Genomic DNA, 19,496 nt, shown 5'->3' on the forward strand with positions numbered 1-19,496 from the left:
GAGAGCCAGGAGGAGGCACCTGCTTTTTTCTTCTCAATGTCTTTTGCCTCCACACTAGATCGTAACCTCTGGTAAGGCTGGGAGATATTTTTCAATCTTTCCACAGTGGGATTTAACACTATCAAGGAGATCTCATGCTGGTATGGCTTCTTAGTAAATAGGAAACAAAGAGGTGGCTCTGGTATTGAAGTGAATGGACTCACACAGACAGTGGTGCTGGAAAAAGCAGTGTGGGGTCAGGTCCACAAACCAGGGAATGGGCTGAGAGTAAGCACTAGGAAAGATGAGTTCAAATTTCCTACCTTCTTCCCTTTAAAGCCTCATTGCCTGCCCTCCTTCCTACTCAGTCCCCTCATTCACCCAACAAACACTCACACAGGCAGAACCTTCAATGCTCTGAATTTTTCCTTCCAGCAGACTCCCATCCATCTGTGTGAAATCTCACCCACTCACAGCCCCCATCTGATGAATAAGTCTCACTGAGAGAATGTCGGAATGTGCTACTCTTCCCTCGGTACTATTTACATTTAGACAACTGCGGCCTTGACTATCATAATCCAAATGTCTAACATGAAAATTAATCATATGGCAAGCTAGAGCTGGGGTGAGGTGGAAGGTAAGGGGGCAGGGGGTATCTTTAAGTACTCATTCTAATGATGAAGCCTGGATTTGGCCTCCCCTCATTCCCTGCAGTCTCACTTGGGCTATGTACTATGAGCCCCCTTTCGAAGGAGTTAAAATTAATTTGGAAAAGTGTTCTGAAGTAACTCTGTGGAGGAGAAACAGAATGAATATCCAAGACATTTCCTCTGGACTAGCTAATCCTTTTGCCACTGCTTGATCTCACCTTCCTTTGATTGTTTCTCCTCTACTTCCTACTTTTTACTGTTGGTATATTTTTATGTGTTCATTATTCAATGTCTTTTGAAAAGTACCCTGAACTCTTTGGAGAGTATGTGCTATGTAAACACAATAAAGAAATGAATACAATGTCTCCTTTTACAAGAGAATAAGTTTTACTATTTCTGATAGTACGAAGTTTACCCCTCACTCAGCACTAGCCTGAAGAGTAAGTAGGTATATTCTGAGGGACATCAGATTCCACTCTAAAGTACTTCCCTAACTACCTGAAATCCCATTAATTTGATGACAAATATATTTTTTAATTTGAGCCTTATAGGTTTTTCAAGAATCCCTTATTAAAATGCGAATACCAAAGCAGGCGAACAGATCATGATATAACCTTAGTCCCCTTTATATTAACCCACCACTTCTATCGAACACATTTTTCACATTCCAAATTTTTCCATGCCTTTGTTTATGCTTTTCTTCTTCCAGAGGTAATGCTAAATTTAATATAAATTAGAAATATAACATTACCTTATATTTTCACATAATCTCTCATTTGATATTCAAATCCAAGCCTACTTGATCTTTTTAAAAACAATTTATTTTTTTCCAATGTAAGAATAACAAGTTTAATATTGAAAATCTGAAAAAGGCAGGAAGATAGGAAGAAGAAAAATATCAACCATAGTCCTACCACCTAAAGAACACTCACTGACAGTGTGGCCATGCTCATTCTTTAAGCCTTAATTTAGGTCCCATTTCTGGTGTGGTGCCTTCCTTGAACTTCCTCCCCCAGATCTTCCATGTCATATCTGTACCACTCAGTTGTACATATCATACACTTTTGTGTATAATGTGATGTATGTCTTATGTTTCCAACGAGATTGTTACATCTTCGAAGGCTGCAAACATGAGTTGTACTTGTTAGCTTACCCCAAAATAATACCTGGTATACCGGACCCAATATCTGCTGATTGATCTAACCTAAATGAATACAAACCATTTCAGAAAAAGATATACAATAGACCACATATCCAGGTCATGAAAATTAAAGCTTTCAGGTCACCTAGCTTAGTGACTATTGCTTTTCTGACCCTAGACTCTTGAAAGCCTATTTAAACTGGCCTCTTTCTCCACACCAAAACTGATAAAAAGGAGACTGATTATGAGCCAGGATTTACACAGAGATTCTCTATATAAGGCATAAAGGTGAGGGTGAGAGAGAGAGAGAGAGAGAGAGAGAGAGAGAGAGAGAGACGTGAGGGAGGGAGAGAAAAGAGAACAGACAGAAGATAAGAGAAGAGAAGGGTATACAGTCTGGTGCTCAATCCAGTATGTGATTTGCCTCCAGCACCGTGTACAGGATCCCATCCACTTGTTCTGAGTCATACCCGATCTCACGAAGCTCCAAGTGAGGGAGGACAGAAGTAAGGAGATAGCTGACGTGGATACGTAGCCGCGTAAGCTTTGCCAAAGCCCTGTATGAAGGAGTGAGGGGGCAGGAGAAGAGATGACATGAAGTCATTAACCAACAGAATAAAATGAAGCCCCTTCAAAATGGAACCACATTTCTCAACAGTTATGTTTTCATTAGCTAGAAAGAAGAAAGCACAACGCCACCAAGCACAGGGAGACTGGCTGCAGCTTTCTAAGAAGTAATTACTCAATTCTTGGTGGCCTGTGAATTAAGGCTTCCTCCTTTGTCTACGGCCAGTAAGTGGGGGTCCTAAGGGATGCTTCCCATTAGCACTCACAAGCTGATAACTAAACCCTAGTAATTAACCTTTCTAGGTCATCTCCCTCTGGGGTCCGGTAGGAGACCTGAGCCTTCTGCAGCATTTCCAGGTGTGTCTCTGTTTCCTTCAGTTTCTCTTTTAACTCTTGCTTTTCCTCTTTGGTTCTTTCCAGCTCAGCTTTCAGAATCTGGAATTCAGCTTGGCGATAACCCATGTGTTTCTTGCTCCAGTACAAGCCTTCCGCCTCCTGGGTACTGTAGATCACCAATTCATGTTGGACTTTCTTGAATTCAGACTGCCAGTGATTCCTCTCCTGTTCCAGCTCCTCCACCTGCAGTCCAAGAAACAGAAATTCAATGACCCCACAAAAGAGCACGCCAAAAACCGTTCCTCATATGGTCATCCTGTGATTCCACTATACATATTCCTCTACTTATGGGCCTTTTCAATACCCTAAAATGGGCAGGAAGCCTACTACAGTTACTCTATCTGAAACACACCACAGAATAGTTCAGGGGCATATTTTATTTAAAGGCCTCAGAACATTAAATAATCAGGGCACCAATGTCCCGCTCCCTTGGTTACTATGGTCTCTTATTCCTAGTGGTGAGGTATTACCCTAACCTTTTGCTGGAACAAATTCCTTTCAGCCAAAACACGTTCCAATTTTTCTGTGGTTCTCTTCAATTCTTCCAGCTCTCTCTGGTTCTTCAACTTTGGTGTATTATGACCTTCGCTCTCCTCATAGCCTCTTGCTTTCTCCCCAATGGCTGCAGCAGGGATTGCAGCAGAGGCCACAGAATAAGGCACTGGGTTCCAGGATTCAACTGCTTTTCGTCTCTCAGCAAGCTCCTCTCTGTTAAAAGGGATCAGCTGAATGGGAGCTCCTGAATCTCTAACACCTTTGGCAACACCCACAACAGCTACAAAAGGTCCCTTGTTGACTTCTTCTTTGTTTATGGTTGTGCTACCTCTGTTAGATTCTTCTGCCACCAATCTTGGCATCTGATCTTCTAATTCTTCAGGAAGCAGGGACCCCTGGCGTTGGTCTTTGGCCCCTGGATACAGAATTGAAACCTCCCTATTCTGACCTGTATTCTTGCTTGCTTCTGGGTATTCTGGGAAAAGGTATGGTGGTGTACTTCTCTCAGAACTCGATTTATCATGGCTGTTCTCCCCTTCTGGGTAGGCAACAGGTGCTTCTACCCTCCTGTAAGGAGCAGGCATGGAATAATCTAGAGAAGGTGTTGTCATCTCATTCTGGAGCCTTCTTCGTTTCTCCACCGGTTCTTCACCTAGGATCCATTTGTACTTACTGCAAGAAGAGGAAATTAAATTGTAAGCTGTCAGAGTACAAGTTAAGTATTTTCTGATCCTATGGAGCCCCAACTCAAACTTCCCATATTCAGACTGACTCTAGATGTTACCCACAGACAAGTCCAGGTTAGGGATACAACTTTACCCACAAGCCTCAACCATTTCACTAGTGCGACTGGTATTAACGGAGAGGTGAAGTTGAAAGGTGTGACTGGGCAGCATCTGGATATAATAGGACTAGGTTGACCTTGGTAAGAATTCTAAAAATAAGATTGCGACCAGCCTGACTTAGAAGTATCCTAAAGATGCAAGTCAAGAGGGAAGACAAAGAAAAAACACATACCCCAAATCCCCTAACACAAGAATGGAATAAAAAGGCCATAAAAAGCCTAGAAGAGTATGCAGAGAACAGTGCCAACTCATTAATTTTACAGCATCACAAATGCCTTCCCGTATCAAAGACTTATGCACATTTTTTTATATTGCAGCAGAACCACACAATTCTTTCACCAGCCCACTGGATTGTGGCTATTGCCCATAGTTCACTTGTAAAAGTTAATTGAATCACAGGGGCCTAGTCAGAAACAAAGAAAGTGAATCAGCCAATTCAAGTCATTTTCCCCTTGTGACAAAGAATTCCCGTGCTCAAGCACAAGCAGACACTCCCTGAGTTGTGCAGGAAAGCCCATGATGATGACCTTAAATCATCTTCCATGTTTGGCTGCTGTATGCACTAGGGGTTGAAGAACTAATGAAACAACTGGCACCAGAGAAATCCATAGGCAATTTTTAATCATGCAGCAGGGTGGGAACCCCATTTTTATCCTTACAACTATTCTGTCCTCCTTCTGGATAACCAAGACATTTCAAGATAAAATCAACTTTCAAATTTTCAATGAGAAAGCATCAGACATATGATTTGCCACCTCATAGTACCTCAAGGTTGCCCATATTTCTCTGTATTTTTTGAGAACACCGGTAAGACAAACCAAACTGTAGTTTCTTATAGTGCCCATATGTTCTTCAGAAATACAACTGATCTGCCATCTTAATAGATCTTGTCGTGTTAGCCTTAGGTAAAAGCAAAAGGACTTAGGAGCTATGTAAGAATAACTGTATCCATCTTTGAACACGTATAAGGTCTACTACTGATGGCCCAGTCAGCTGTGGTACTGAAGAAGACAGTAAAACAATCAGTTGGCAGGTACAAAGGAAAAGTATATAATACTAAATAGCAACAACCAAGCCTTGTGAAAAGCAATTACAGTCATATTATCTGCCTTCTCTTCGTTTTCCCACCTCTAAGGGTTCTGTCCTTAACTATCTTCTCTTCTGACCCTGTATTTCTTCTCCTTTGTAATCTTATACAACCTCTTGGCTACAATCTCTGGGCAACAACTCCCATATTCTCCCAAACCCTGACCCCCAGTATTGAATTTCCAACTGCCTGTCACACATTTCTTCCTGGAGGTCCCACTGGTATCTCAAACTCAGTATGTATAAAACCAACCTTTCATTTTCACCTTCAAACCTGCTCCTTTTCCCTATGTTTCCTATTTGTGTTACAACAGCACCAAACTGTCACTAATATTTATACGGTAGGTTTATACATTATCAATACTCAAGTTCAAGCTCCCACTACCTTTCCTGGACTACTGCAATGGCTTCCTCCTGTCTCCAGTCTCCCCTTCTCTTACCTCCAGATCACTGTCCCAAGCTAATCTTCCTAAAGCATTGCTTTGATTATGCTACTCCTCTATTCAAAATCTTTATTTATTGCTCCCCACAACATAAAAGCTTAAATGTCTTAGCTCACTATTGAAGCTTTTCCATGCCAAAACATAGTAAACATTTACTGAGCACTTACTCTGTACCAGATCATGTAAGAAGTGCTTAACATGTATTGCCTCATCTAATTCTCCCAATAAACATGAGGCAGGTGGGATTATTATCTCCACTGTTTTAAGGGGATGCTCAGGAAGAAGTTAACTTTCTCAAGGTGGCTAGTAAGTATCAGAGCTGGGACAGAATTTGGCCCCAGCTTTATCTCTCATTACTCCCTTCACAAACATCAGTCAAACTGGATGCCTTTTGACTGGAGTGCCCTTCTTCTACCCAACACTGCATGCATAAATCCAACTCAAATGCTACTTCTGAATTCCTATAGCACTTCAAGCACTCTTATTAAAATGCATCACTTACTACTTTGTGTGTGTGTGTGTGTGTGTGTGTGTGTGTGTGTGTGTGTGTGTCCTAGGTACCTTACAAAAGCATAAAAGTATAAGTTCCTACACAGAAGGGAGCTTAATTAACCATGCTAGATGGGGAGGAGGGAACAAAACTTTCACATAAGAGGCAACCAAAAAAAGAACTATTATGTGAATGAGGGAAAATAACTAGATTTTACTTATTGGTTCTATACTTCTCCAGAAAGTCTGGCAAGTCCTTTTAGGAATCAATTCTCATACCAGACTTGTATTCACTCATTGAGTAGAGATTAATTATGGGTTTTATATACTAGAAATTCTCCAACTACACAGTTTCCTCTTATTTTCTTTCTGCCCTTTGTCATATTCCTCCATTGTCTGTCAATTCATGGTGTATTTTTGGTTTTCTCCTTTAAGTATTTTACATTTTCTGACATACACCATGTTTCTGCTCCTTCAAAATGCTTTCTCAGAGGCTTCTGTAATTAACCACTATCAGTTTTGTATTATTTCACTAACCAAGACAGAGAATGATACATTCAAATTAATATATTTCATTTTTTACTCACTCATTTCATAAATGTTTCCTACTATGTTTAAGGAACTATGATAGGCAAGAATAAGGACCAAAAATCACGGCCCTGTAATAGTGTATATATACTCCTTCCAGATGATGTATTTTTCAACATCTTTACTGGGATAGAAATCTATAAATTCACTTAAGGTATACAATTCAACAATTTTAGTATTCTCACAGAGTTGTGTAACCATCACCACAATCTAAGTTGTGAAAATATGCACCACCCCGCAAGAAACCTCCTACACATCAGCAGTTACTCCCCATACCCCCACTGGGACACTACTCTACTTTCTGTCTCTGTAGATTTGCCTATTCTAGGCATTTAATATAAATGGAATAATAAAACATATGGCTTTTTTAAACTCGCTTCTTTCACCTAAATGGAATAAAACATATGATTTTTAACTTGCTTCTTTCATTTAACACAATGTTTTCAAGTTTCATCCATGTTGTAGCACATAATCAGTATTTCATTCCTTTTCATAGCTAAATAATAGTCCATTGTATGAATAGGCCACATTTTATATCCATTCATCAGTTGATAGTTATTTAAATTGCATCCACTTTTTGGCTACCATAAATGATGCTGCTATGAACATTAGCATACAAGTTTTTATATAGATACGTTTTCCGTTTTCTTGGGTATAAACTTAGGTGTGGCATTACTGAGTCATATGGCATTCTGTTTAACATTTTGTGAAACTATTGGAATGTTTTCCAAAGCAGCTGTAACATTTTGCATTTATACCAGCAAGTGATCCTCCCACCTCAGCCTTCCAAGTAGCTGGAACTACAGGCATACACGCCCAGCTAATTTTTGTATTTTCTGTAGAGACAGGGTCTTCCTATGTTGCCCAGGCTGGTCTTGAACTGCTGGGCTCAAATGATCCTCCCGTCTCAGCCTCCCAAAGTGCTGGGATTACAGGTATGAGCCACCATGCCCAGCTTCTTTCTTCAATTTTAATATAAGCATCTAAAAATATAATTTTCCCTCTGAGTATTTCTTTAGCTTCAACCCATAGTTTCCATATGTTTTGTTTTAATTTTCATATTTTCAATATATTTTTACATTTCCAATGTGATTTTTTTTCTTCTACCCATTTATTTTGGAAATTAAGACGTGTCATTTAATTTCCATATATTTGTGCATTTTCCAAATTTCCTTAGGTTGTTGATTTCTAATTTAATTATATTGCGATTGGAGAACATCCTTTGTATGATTGTCAATATTTTTAAATTCACTGAGGTTTGTTTTACAACCTAACATACAGTCTGTCTATCCTGGAGAATATTTCACGTGCATTTGAGAAGAATACATACTATGTTGTTGCTGGGTGAAGTTTTCTGTATGTATGTCAGGTCTGGTTGGTTCAGAATGTTCTTCAAGTCTTCTAGTTCCTTGTTGATCTTCCTAGTTGTTGTATCCGTTATTGAAAGTAGGGCATTGAAGTCTCCAACTATTATTGTTGAATTGTCTATTTCTCTCTACAATTCTGTCTGTTTTTGCTTTGTGTATTTCTGGGGCTCTGTAGTTAGGTATATATATATATACCTGTAGTTAATCTATATATATATATTATATATATATATATATATAATATATATATATATAAAACACACTTTAGATGCAAAGATACAGATAGGTTGGAAGTAAAAGGATTGAAAAAGATTCAACATGCAAACATGGTTATACTAATATCAGACAAGATAGACTTTTAAATAAAAAATGTTACTGGATATAAAGAGGGACCTTTCATAATGATAAAGTCCATCAGGAAGATGTAATAAGTACACTCACATATGGACCTAACTACAGAGCCCCAGAAATACACAAAGCAAAAACAGACAGAACTGTAGAGAGAAACAGACAATTCAACAATAATAGTTGGAGACTTCAATGCCCTACTTTCAATAATGGATACAACAACTAGATATATATAAAATCTGATATCTGTCTTTTGATTGGATTGCTTAATCCAGTCACATTTTCTGTTACTGATAAGATAAAATTTACATCTGCTATTTAGTTTTTTAATTTTCTACAAGTGTCACGCCTTCTTTGTTCCTTTGACCCATCTTTATTTTTCCTCTTTTTATATCATGTATTTTCTAGTATAACATTCACGAATCTAATAATACATTGTTATAATTATTACTTTATGCAATGTTACATCTTCCAAGGAAGCCAAGAGAAGAAAGCAGAGCAAGCACATATTTACAGAGTTTGTTTCATTAACCTTTTTATTTTCCATTTTTTAATTGTCATTTCAGACTGTAGATCTGAGTTACTATCTGGCGTCATTTCCTTACTCCAATGTAACTTTATTCCCATCCACCTCCTTTGTGCTATTTTTTGTCAAATATTTTACATTTGTATATGTTATAAGCACAACGATAAATCAATATATATATATGCAATTATATACAAATACATATTGCTTTATGTTATTTAAATTGGTTAAGAATAGAAAGAGGAAGAAATATTCTATTGTTTTGTGCTCTTTAATTAACTACACAGTTACTTTTATAAGCACTCTTTGCTTTTTCATGTGAATTCAGATTACTGTCTGATATTGCTTGCTTTCATCCTAAAAAAATCTCTCTAGTATTTCTTGTAAGGCAGGTCTGCTGGCAACAAATTCCTTCAGCTTTTATTTATCTGGCAATGTATTTAGTTCACCTTTATTTCCTAAAGGTAATTTTATTGTATTTAAGATACTTGGTTGTCAGTCTTTCATTCAGTCCTTTGAATACGTCATCACGCTGCCTTCTTGTTCCCATTTTTTTCTCATGAGAAGTCATCAACTTTAATTTTCTTGGGATTCTCTTGTACATGATGAATCATTTTCTCTTTGCTTTTGGCTTTCAATATTTGCACTATGATGTGTCTGGCAATGAATCTCCGTATTTATCCTATTTTGAGTTTGCTGAGCTTCCTAGATGTATACATTAATGTTTTTCATCAACTTTTGGGAAGTTTTTAGCCATGATTTCTTGAAATATTTTTTCTACTTCATTTTCTCTCTATTCTTCTATTATGCATATGTTGGTGCATTTCATGGCGTTCCACATTTCTCTGAAGCTCTGTTCATTTTTCTTTTCCACTGTTCTTCAAATTGCATAATCTATAACTTATCTATCTTCAAGTTTTTTTATTCTTTATTCTTCCAACTCTAATGTGCTGTTGAGTCCCTTTAAAATTTTTTTCATATCAGTTATTATACCTTGCACCTTCAGAATTTCCATTTGATTCTTTTTATAGGTTCTGTCCATTATTAATATTCTCTACTTTAATTCTTTAGACATGGTCTCCTTTAGTTCTTTGAATGTGTTTACAACAGCTGCATTGAAGTATTTGTCTGATAAATCCAATATCTGAATCTCTTCAAGAGCAGTTTCTATTGCTGTTCCTCCCCACCCTCTGCTCCCATGTAGAGGTCACACTTCCCTGTTTCTCTTCATGTTTCATAATTTTTGTTGACAACTGGACATTTTAGATAATATAGCAATTCTGGACACTGATCTCCCCTTCCCTATGACACTGATGTTGTTGTTTGCTTGGTTGTTTATTTAGTGACTTCGCTGAACTGACTCTATGCAGTCCATTTCCCCTGTATTATGCAGCCTCTGATGTACTTGTTCAGATTTTTTTTCTTGATTTTAATCTTTCACCTGGCAACCTAGTTCATACCTGGTTTGGCACAGGCCACTTATTAGTTAAAGGTTGTGCTTAAGTCCCTTCAGCTGGTTAGATTTTTACCCTTTTCCATTGAGTGTGTGCGAGACTTGGAGGTTACTACCAAAGTTCAAGAGTATGCTTCTGTCCCACATTCAGCCAGGTACTAATAGCTTAGATTTTCCCTCTTCAATCACCCTGGAGGTAGCATAGCATTGAACATGTACACAGTCTCCTAGATTGCCAAGGATGTATGTGATTTCATTTTTAAGCCTGGTTCCCAGGAGGTGCCCCTGGGTCAGAGTAACATCGTTCAGCCAGTGGTTGGTTAGAGGTTGTGCTTAAACCCCTAGTGCCAGTGAGGCTCCTCTTCTTTACTGTTTCATCTGTGTTCAGCTTGAGGACGGCTTTCAAGTCCACCTTAGGTCCTGCTCTGATTGCTTCTGAGTGGGTGTAGCCCTGTGCTTATACACAGCCTTTCTGACACCCAAGACTATGATCCGAAGAGGGCTCTTGACTGTATTTCCCTGATTCTCTCTGTTACCAAACTTATGATCGCTTGCACATTTTGCTTGCTGAAACTTGTCATGGAGTTATAATTGCCCTCATAATTGTTCTCCACCAAGATCTCCATTATTTTTGACAATGCCCCTTAGTCACAGAATTCTTCATGTTCTGCTCCACATAAAGTCAATTCCTTTAGGTAGAGCTGTGGCATTCCTCATCCTTAAGGCCTGCCTCTCTCTTTAAGCAGAATCTCTGGCACAGTGTGCAAGAACTAGAGACAACAACAGTAACATACTTCTCCCAGAGTAAAATCCCTTCTTTATGAATGGGTACTGGGGTAATTTTTGGCTTACTTCTTCCAGCATAGACTTCTGACCTATGAGCAAGCTCGGGTAGGAACAATAGGGGCATGGTATTACTAACTTGCTGTTCCTTTGTGAGTGCTCCCACCCTATAAGTGAGGGCTTTGTTGGGGAAGAGAAGGCTGGGAGAAGAGAGACCCAGTCTTCGTGGATCTGCCTGGAATAGAGCTTCTACAAAACAGAACTGGAGAGGAGATGAGAAAAGCCAGAGGCCTGCTCCTCCCAGGTAAAACCATAGCTCTAGACAATGAGCTAGGGGATGAGGGAGCCCCCATCTTCTAGACCACACCCACATGGATTAGAATTCCTTTGAGTAGTTTTCATAAAATAGAGCTTGGAGTGGGACAGCTTGTGGTTCAAATGCCACTGACTCTTGCTGTTCTTCCTGAGATTTAGAAGATTTCTTGAATATTTCTCCCTTTGCTGTGTGCCCCTAGGACACTATCCAGAAACACTGATTTTTTTTAAATATATTTTTTCAAGTTAAACAGTTATTTATTGGTGACAGAGTCCACTATGCTCCTCATTTCTCCATTCTGGAAGTTGCTTCCCTAGATCATATTTTTAAATGTTAATACTGGCCCCTGAATCAATCTTATTCATTTGCAAAATTGTTCATCTATTTCTACCCCTTGTTTGTTATTTCAAGTATTCCTTTAGACACAGTAGAATGTCTCTACTTCTCTCCCTCCACTGTTAACAGTGCAATTCAGAATTTGTTAACCTTTAAAAATATGAACTAATTAGCCTTTGACATATAGCTTACTCAAATCTAAATATCTAAATAAATTACAGCCACTAATTCTTGCCTTCATTCAAATGCTTACGGTTACTTTAGATCTTTCTTTTTTTTTGAGACAGGGTCTTGCTCTGTTGCCCAGACTAGAGCACAGTTGCGCAATCACAGCTGGCTCACTGCAGCCTATGCTCAAGCGATCCTCCCACCTCAGCCTCCAGAGTAGCTGGGACCACAGGCGCACGTCACCACACCTGGCTAATTTTTTATTATTTGTAGAGAAGAGGTCTCACTGTGTTGCCCAGGCTAGTCTCGAACTCCTGGGCTCAAGCAACCCTCCTGTCTCAGCCTCCCAAGTGCTGGTATAAGAGGCGTGAGGTACTGCACCCGGCCACTTTAAATCTTATTTTGTATCACTCATAAGAGAACTATACATATTTAGCCAGGCGCAGTGGCTCACACCTGTAATCCCAGCACTTTGGGAGGCCAAGGCGGGTGGATCACGAGGTCAGGAGTTTGAAACCAGCCTGACCAACATGGTGAAACCCTGTCTCTACTAAAAATACAAAAATTAGCCGGGCGTGGTGGCACGCGCCTGTAATCCCAGCTACTCAGGAGGCTGAGGCAGGATAATCGCTTGAACTCGGGAGGTGGAGGTTGCAGTGAGCCGAGATTGCGCCACTGCACTCCAGCCTGGGTGACAGAGCGAGACTCTGCCGCAAAAAAAAAAAAAAAAAAAAAAAAAAAAAAGGAAAGAAAACTATATGCACTTTATATGTAAATATTGGGGATACTTACATATCAAATTTTGACTACTCAAACCTCCTTCATCTTTGATCTTGTCACTACCCTAGAACAGGGCCTTTCATAAAGTAGGCACTCAAATACAGTCGTGCATTACTTAATGATGGGCATACGCTCTGAGAAATCCATTGTTAGACAATTTCCTCATCGTGCAAACATCATAGAGTATCCTTACACAAACCCAGATGGTATAGCCTACTATACACCTAGGCAATAGCCTATTGCTCCTAGGCTATAAACCTGTACAGCATGTGACTGTAGTGAATACTATAGGCAACTGTAACAAAATGGTAAGTATTTGCATATCAAATATATCTAAATATACAAAAGGTACAGTAAAAATACAGTATTGTAAGTTTATGGGATAACTGTTGTGTATGTGTTCTGTTATTGACCAAGATGTCATTATGCGGCACGATTATACATGTAGGATGAACAAATAGAAAGGGATTATTTCCTTTAACAGAAATAAGCTGTCTTCCCCAAAAAGGTTATACCTGCTTACATACTGGTGGAACCTATTCTTTATTGCAGGTCCTCTCCTCCCCTTGCTAGATTTGTGGGACTCACAAAGCTGTTTCCAGTGACACCTGTGGCGCCCCTGCTAAACTACCCACTAGAACTTAAAAGTTTTCTTGGATACTGTAGGCTTTATTTTATCTGGAGTTAGTAAGCTGAACTACATGACCCAAGGACCCTTATCAGCTTCCTATGCTGATAATAACAGAAGACCTTTGTAACTCTTGATTAAACCTTAATGTTTTATCAGAAATCCTATATATTTTACTAGACTCTTGAGTAACTCCATTTTCCCCCATTAAAAGGTAGTCTCAGCCCAATCAATGTGATTCCCTCGAAAAGTGTAACTTGAAATGACACAATCATCATTTACTGATCTTATGTAACATATATGACATTAGCAACAGCAACTATCACATACCTCTTATGTTTCTCTTTCTCTTGAAATAATTTTATTCTCAATAAATTAAAATTACATATGAATGGTCAATGTACTTTACCTGTCCTCTACAGCCAAAACCTCACTCTCGATATAGCAATCCATAAAGACTCATACAAAAATTCCAATAGAGACTGATGAAGTATGCCACCCAATGGAAGTTCTATTGTACTGCATTCATAAAATAAGTATATAAATTAGCATTTGTAATCCCCTTGAGGTTACCAAAAACCACTACAGGGTTATAAAAGAAACACTGGAAAAAAAGGAAAAGTGGTCATAGTAAGGAAGGGACAGTCTTCAAAAGCAAAGACACCTGACACTCCAGCAGCAATGGTGATATATGAGCATCTCCAGGAGACCAGGGTAAAAAGGTAACAATGTGCTTCAAAAACACTTAGCATTTACAGTGCACCCCTCCCAACCTAAAATGGGAGTTGGAAAAGTATGCATGGAAACGGTGTAATTAGGCTCAAGCTCCTGAGACTAAGGCTGGATTCTATTTCTTATCCCGTTGCTACAAAATTCAATCTTAGAAATTGCTTCTTAAATATGACTCAGATTCAACCATTACTTATTGAGTACCTACTATATTCCAAGGCACCGTTCTATTGGTTTTTTGTTTTTTTTTTAAGAGATGAGATTTCGCTGTGTTGTCCAGGCTGGTCTTGAACTCAGAAACACAGAGAAAAACAAACCAACCAACCAGGAGTCACTTTATCCTATTATGTATTCCACTGACTATTCTACAGTATGTTAAGGAGATATCCAAAGTGAAAATAGTCACTAAAAAGTTCACTTCCCGGCTGGGTGTGGTGGCTCATGCCTGTAATCCTGGCACTTTGGGAGGCCAAGGCGGGTGAATCACCTGAGGTCGGGAGTTCGAGACCAGCCTGACCAACATGGAGAAACTCCGTCTCTACTAAAAATACAAAATTAGCCAGGTGTGGTGGTGCATGCCTGTAATCCTAGCTACTCCAGAGGCTGAGGCAAGAGAATCGCTTGAACCCGGGACGGGGAGGTTGCAGTGAGCCAAGATCACGCCATTGGACTCCAGCCTGGGCAACAAGAGCGAAACATAATAGTCAGATTACTGATGAACATAGACATTTCTACTATTAGAGAGCAACCTTGTCCCTGCCCTATATGGCTTGGCCCTGCAAGAGTGAGAAGCAGAATAGAGAAGAGAAAGCAAGGAGTCATAATTAGGAGTACTGAGTTCAGTCCCATGGGAGTAAAGGGGCAGTCATATCCTTCAGTGCTTCAAATACTCCTGATATCTAAGAAAAAGAACAGTTATGCTTCTTCTTGTTATGAAGACACAAAATAACACTGATGAGGTGCTAGAAGGTGAACAAGTAAAGTCCAATGCTAAACTTATACTAATAATTTATTCTAGGAAACAACAAATGATAAAGCTTACCTAATGGCACAAATATCTAATAGTTATTTTTACATGTGGTCAACATGTGCTAGGCCTATGAGGCCCAAGAGAACTTCAATATCCATATACTGAAGAAAAGGAACAATGCTTATCATTATAACATTACCTTATTTGTGTAGTATTTTACACTTTTCAAATTTTGTCTATTATTTCACTTGCACAATTCCCAATATAATGTGAATACATGATACATAAAAAGAGTATCAGCAAATGATCACCTCAAAATTATAGACCTGATACAGCAGTTATAATACTGAAAAATTGGAGGTACATGCAACACACAATTCTATCAACTTAAAATTGTGTTTCTACTTCTGAATTCCATGCTAGGCCTTAGAAAAAACAGAAACAAGGTAAAACATACCAACTTACTCTACAGGAAAACAGACTCTAAAGCTTACTATTGACAAGAGATCATGCTTTTTAGTCACCTGGAAAACTGTAAAACACTGGAATCCAGAGGCTTAAGTTGAAGAGATGGTGATCTGCTTTCTTCTCCACCAGAAGGAAGCACACTAGGGCTATGAATTCCCTCATATCCAATTGTCTTGTTATTCAATCCAGCCATTTCTTGAACAGTAAGGATCTTTGGTGGATTACTGAATACCTATAAAAGACAGAAATGATTTGTAAAAGTCTCAAATTCAAACCAAATGCCAAAGGATGAGTCAATCCTTCTGATGCTAGGAAAGAATGCTTGGCCAAATAAAAAGAAACTGTTTCCTACACAAAACAAACAGTGTGCAGTAATGTACACTAGAACACTGAACCCAGGCATACTCAGTTATCAACCTTATCAGCAGGACACCAAACAGACCTCCCCCAACTTACTTAGTGGCTCCTAGAATTATCCCACCCCCAATATAAACCCAGGCCCCCTAATCACTGTCTAATTCTCTCTTGTGACCCAGTTTAAGGCTGAGTTTTCACTCCCCTGAGATGTATGATGAGGGTAGGGTGGTGGGAAAATGCACTGCAGCAAGTGTCTGTGCCAGTTTGGGAGAAATACATGCGACAGACTAACATATATTCATAGTACACACACACACACACACACACAGACATGCATCTGGATCTTGTGGGAGAGCCAGCTCATGAAGATAGTATGAATGATTAAGGTGAGGGAAAATATAGGGGAGGTAAACTGAATGAGAACAGGGCAGTCCTAGGAAATCTACCAATCTCTACATCAGACAATTAAACCAAGGCATTAGGGTATGAAACCTGATTATTCATATGCCTGGGTCTTGGCAGGATATCAGAAGAAGAATTAGTATTAAATTGCCTCTATCCTCACCAGTCTGACCTACCCTGATTGAGTGAGTGGAAGGTGAATCTAACATGCGACTAGCAGATCTCTCTTGGAAAGAGGGTCAAGAGGGAAATCATGCAGAAAGGCAAGGTTGGGAGGGAAAGATATACGGGTGCTATGGTGGCTGTCAGGAAAGGAGTGTCCCTGAAAGGACGGCCAACCTTACTGCACCCTTCAGCGTCCGGAGCTGGGCAACCATGTCCGAGAGACAGTGCTCCTGAAAATTCAAAACAGCAGAATTTTTATAAAGCCAGCCAGCCTGAAAGCAGGGATAGGGGAGGAGTACAAACAACCACCCCTTCTTCCCAAGAGGAAGGAGGAAGGGATCACCCCTGAATCCTAGAAGAAAAGAGACAGGAAAAGCAGACACTTAACAGGAGAAGCCTGTATGAGGATGAAACACAACCCTGAATATTCTGTGACATTGAATGTGATATTCATACTGTCCAGAGTCAGTACTGAATCCAAATCTGGAAGATAAACGATTCGACTCTTCTACTTTTGGTGATCTAAACATCAGTGACAGCAGAGCAAAGCAAAACCAAAAGATTCAATGAAAAGAAGACCACCAGAAGAAATGGTTTGTTATTTCTATGCAGCTTTCAAGATTGCTGCTTCCTTCAACTTATATTTTCTGTTGGGGAAAATGTTGTGTGAGAACAATAAGGGTGTGCACTGCCTCTCACCTGGTGGTTCTCATTTTCCATAGGCATCTTCTTCTTCTCCTCAACAGTTTGTTCTCTAGGAGAAGATAAAAGTGCTATTTAGTTCACTCATGAAACTTCTCAGTTTGAAATGGACTGCCAATTGTAGATTTAGGTTATAATGTTCCTTCCAAATTACAAATACTGTGAGCCTCATTGAGTAACTGAGGGTGCCTTTCTGAACTAGGCTACTGAAGTGAGATTTCAAGTGCCCCACCAGAGAGAGAGAGAGAGAGGAGAGAGAAAGACTAAAGACAATCACTAGTTGAGACATTCAGGAGATGATTAGAAGGAATAAAGAACTGGGAGAGCAGAGAGGTGAGGAGGGAAATTATTTAAGAACCAAAAAAATTCTCTCTTCTCAAAACTCCCGTCCTGTAAGGAAGTGTCAGGCTACTCTACCCTATGGTAGAGAACCCCATCTCATGTATACTCAACTGTTTCTTAGCTTTGCTCAAGCACAGGTCTTCATCAGTGAGTTCTTGTTCCTCTGGAACAGAGCATCTCCTGCAGTACAGAGAATAAATCATCCTTTGGAAAAAAACTGGGTCCTTCACTTTTACCTTTTAATTTCCTTATAACTATGCAGGTTAACAACTCTCTAACATTACAGAGTTCAGATCCCATTCAAATTATAAAACCTTGTTATATGTAAAGCATGAGAAAGAGAATTTTAGGAGTAAAAACTGAAAGGAGTACTAGAAAATACATTCAGTGGTCAAAAGTAATCCTAGAAACAAACAAAATTTAACAATAATTGGCAGCTATATTATACTCAGTTTATAAAGGGGCAAAGTGGGCTGCAAGGTTATGTCTCCTGTACTAAAAGATAAAGTATTCAAAAACGAGACTTCTAAGTACTCAGTTCCATATTCTAATTACACAATCTCATTTACTCTCCATGGAAAGATACTTGGGCATATCTAGAGACTATGAGGAAATGCTTATATTTATAGACCTAATCTTTGTTCATTTAACTTCTTCAATTTTAGACATTTTTCCCCTAAAATGCATACCCATTTTAGCACCTTTCTATCAGTATTTATCCTGCCAGAAGAATTTTAAGAAAGTCACAGCTGAATTGAAGCACACTGACTTATTATTATGAACCTATATGACTACTGAGTCAAATTTTTAAAAACTTTTAAAGTTAATGCCTAAAGATATGCCAGACACTATTTAGATGTTGGATGCTGCAAGAAACATATGGTATATTAGGAAGACAAACACACAAACAGCGCTGAATATACAATAGGTACAGGTACTACTGTATAACACTGATTCCAAATACGAAGCATATAAAGAACATCATCGACTTGACCTGGAATGTAAAGTCCTTTGTCTCGAAGAGTTTACGATCTCTTGAAGAGCCAAAGCTCTTCAAAGATACATATGTGAAAAACATCCAAAAAGTACAAAACAATATGTGAACAAATGTCAAGAATCAAATACCAGAGGAAATCAGAGTAAAATCACTGTAAACTATGGTCAACAGGAAAAGCATCACACAAAACACTTGCTGCCCAGATGGATGTGATTAGGATAGACAAATGGAATGCAGAAAGTCATTGCAAGCAAGAGGAATGACACTATCAAAGTCATGGACATGAGAGTAAGCATGGCATGTGTAGGGAATAGTGAAGCCACAGCCCTGGCTCAAGTACAAAGTTTGTGTTAAGATACCACGAAATGTAAGGCTAGATAGGTAAGCTGGGGTCAGTCAGCACAGGGCCTTGAATGCCAGGCTGAAGGGTGTGAACCTGAGATGAAAAATGTTTTAGACTATAGAGATAAATCAGGAGTTACCTTGAGCATAAGATTGAGTCCTGGAACCTTACCTGTACTTTGGATGGGAATTATAATAACAAAACCATCTTGCAGGTAACATGGATGGATCAATCTTCCCAGGAAGCTTTCTCCATTTAAGACACTCATCACACTGAACCCATGTCTGGTCAGGAACCTTCCTGAATGAAGGAAAATGGAAGTGTGACTGTGTATATCTTAGCTCTGTGCTTTGTCTTACATTAGAAAGGTGCAGCCAAAAAAAGAAAGAACCTAATTTCATATATGAAATATGTTGGGAATGTTATCATCTTGGTGCCCAAATGTATATATTTTTAACTTCACAGATAAAATGATAGAACTATAGCAAATATGGATATGAAAAATAGTAACAAGTATTAACATGGTGAGCTACTTTTATAGAGGTCAATAATATTTATCTTGTAACCAAAAACCACTTGTACCCCAAAAGCTATTGAAACATTTTTTAAATAATACTTATCCTGGTGGCTCTTGTTC

General features: G+C 39.0%; 1 protein-coding gene across 2 annotated transcripts in view, besides 1 other annotated feature; it reads right to left on the minus strand.

Annotated features, from left to right (window-relative positions):
- MORC4 (MORC family CW-type zinc finger 4) overlaps nucleotides 1,433-19,496 on the minus strand; it is a 59,475-nt gene continuing 41,411 nt past the window's right edge. The window contains exons 11-17 of one of the 2 annotated variants that reach the window (NM_001085354.3): nucleotides 19,031-19,159; nucleotides 17,631-17,699; nucleotides 17,175-17,229; nucleotides 15,608-15,783; nucleotides 3,210-3,900; nucleotides 2,671-2,916; nucleotides 1,433-2,327 (exon numbers count right to left, since the gene is read on the minus strand). In NM_001085354.3, coding sequence (NP_001078823.1) covers nucleotides 2,247-2,327; nucleotides 2,671-2,916; nucleotides 3,210-3,900; nucleotides 15,608-15,783; nucleotides 17,175-17,229; nucleotides 17,631-17,699; nucleotides 19,031-19,159 — 1,447 coding nt within the window. In that variant the 3' untranslated portion in view covers nucleotides 1,433-2,246. Of the gene's footprint in view, nucleotides 2,328-2,632; nucleotides 2,917-3,209; nucleotides 3,901-15,607; nucleotides 15,784-17,174; nucleotides 17,230-17,630; nucleotides 17,700-19,030; nucleotides 19,160-19,496 lie in introns of both variants that reach the window. The other variant, NM_024657.5, reaches the window with a different exon arrangement.
- Nucleotides 15,714-16,008: an enhancer, noted in NCBI's record as "tiled region #10711; HepG2 Activating DNase matched - State 6:EnhF". NCBI's record gives its function as "activates a minimal TATA promoter and a strong SV40 promoter by Sharpr-MPRA in HepG2 cells {active_cell/tissue: HepG2}" and the evidence as "EXISTENCE:reporter gene assay evidence [ECO:0000049][PMID:27701403]".

This window comes from Homo sapiens, chromosome X, assembly GCF_000001405.40.
Source record: "Homo sapiens chromosome X, GRCh38.p14 Primary Assembly".
In the NCBI taxonomy this organism is placed as follows: Eukaryota; Metazoa; Chordata; class Mammalia; order Primates; family Hominidae; genus Homo; species Homo sapiens.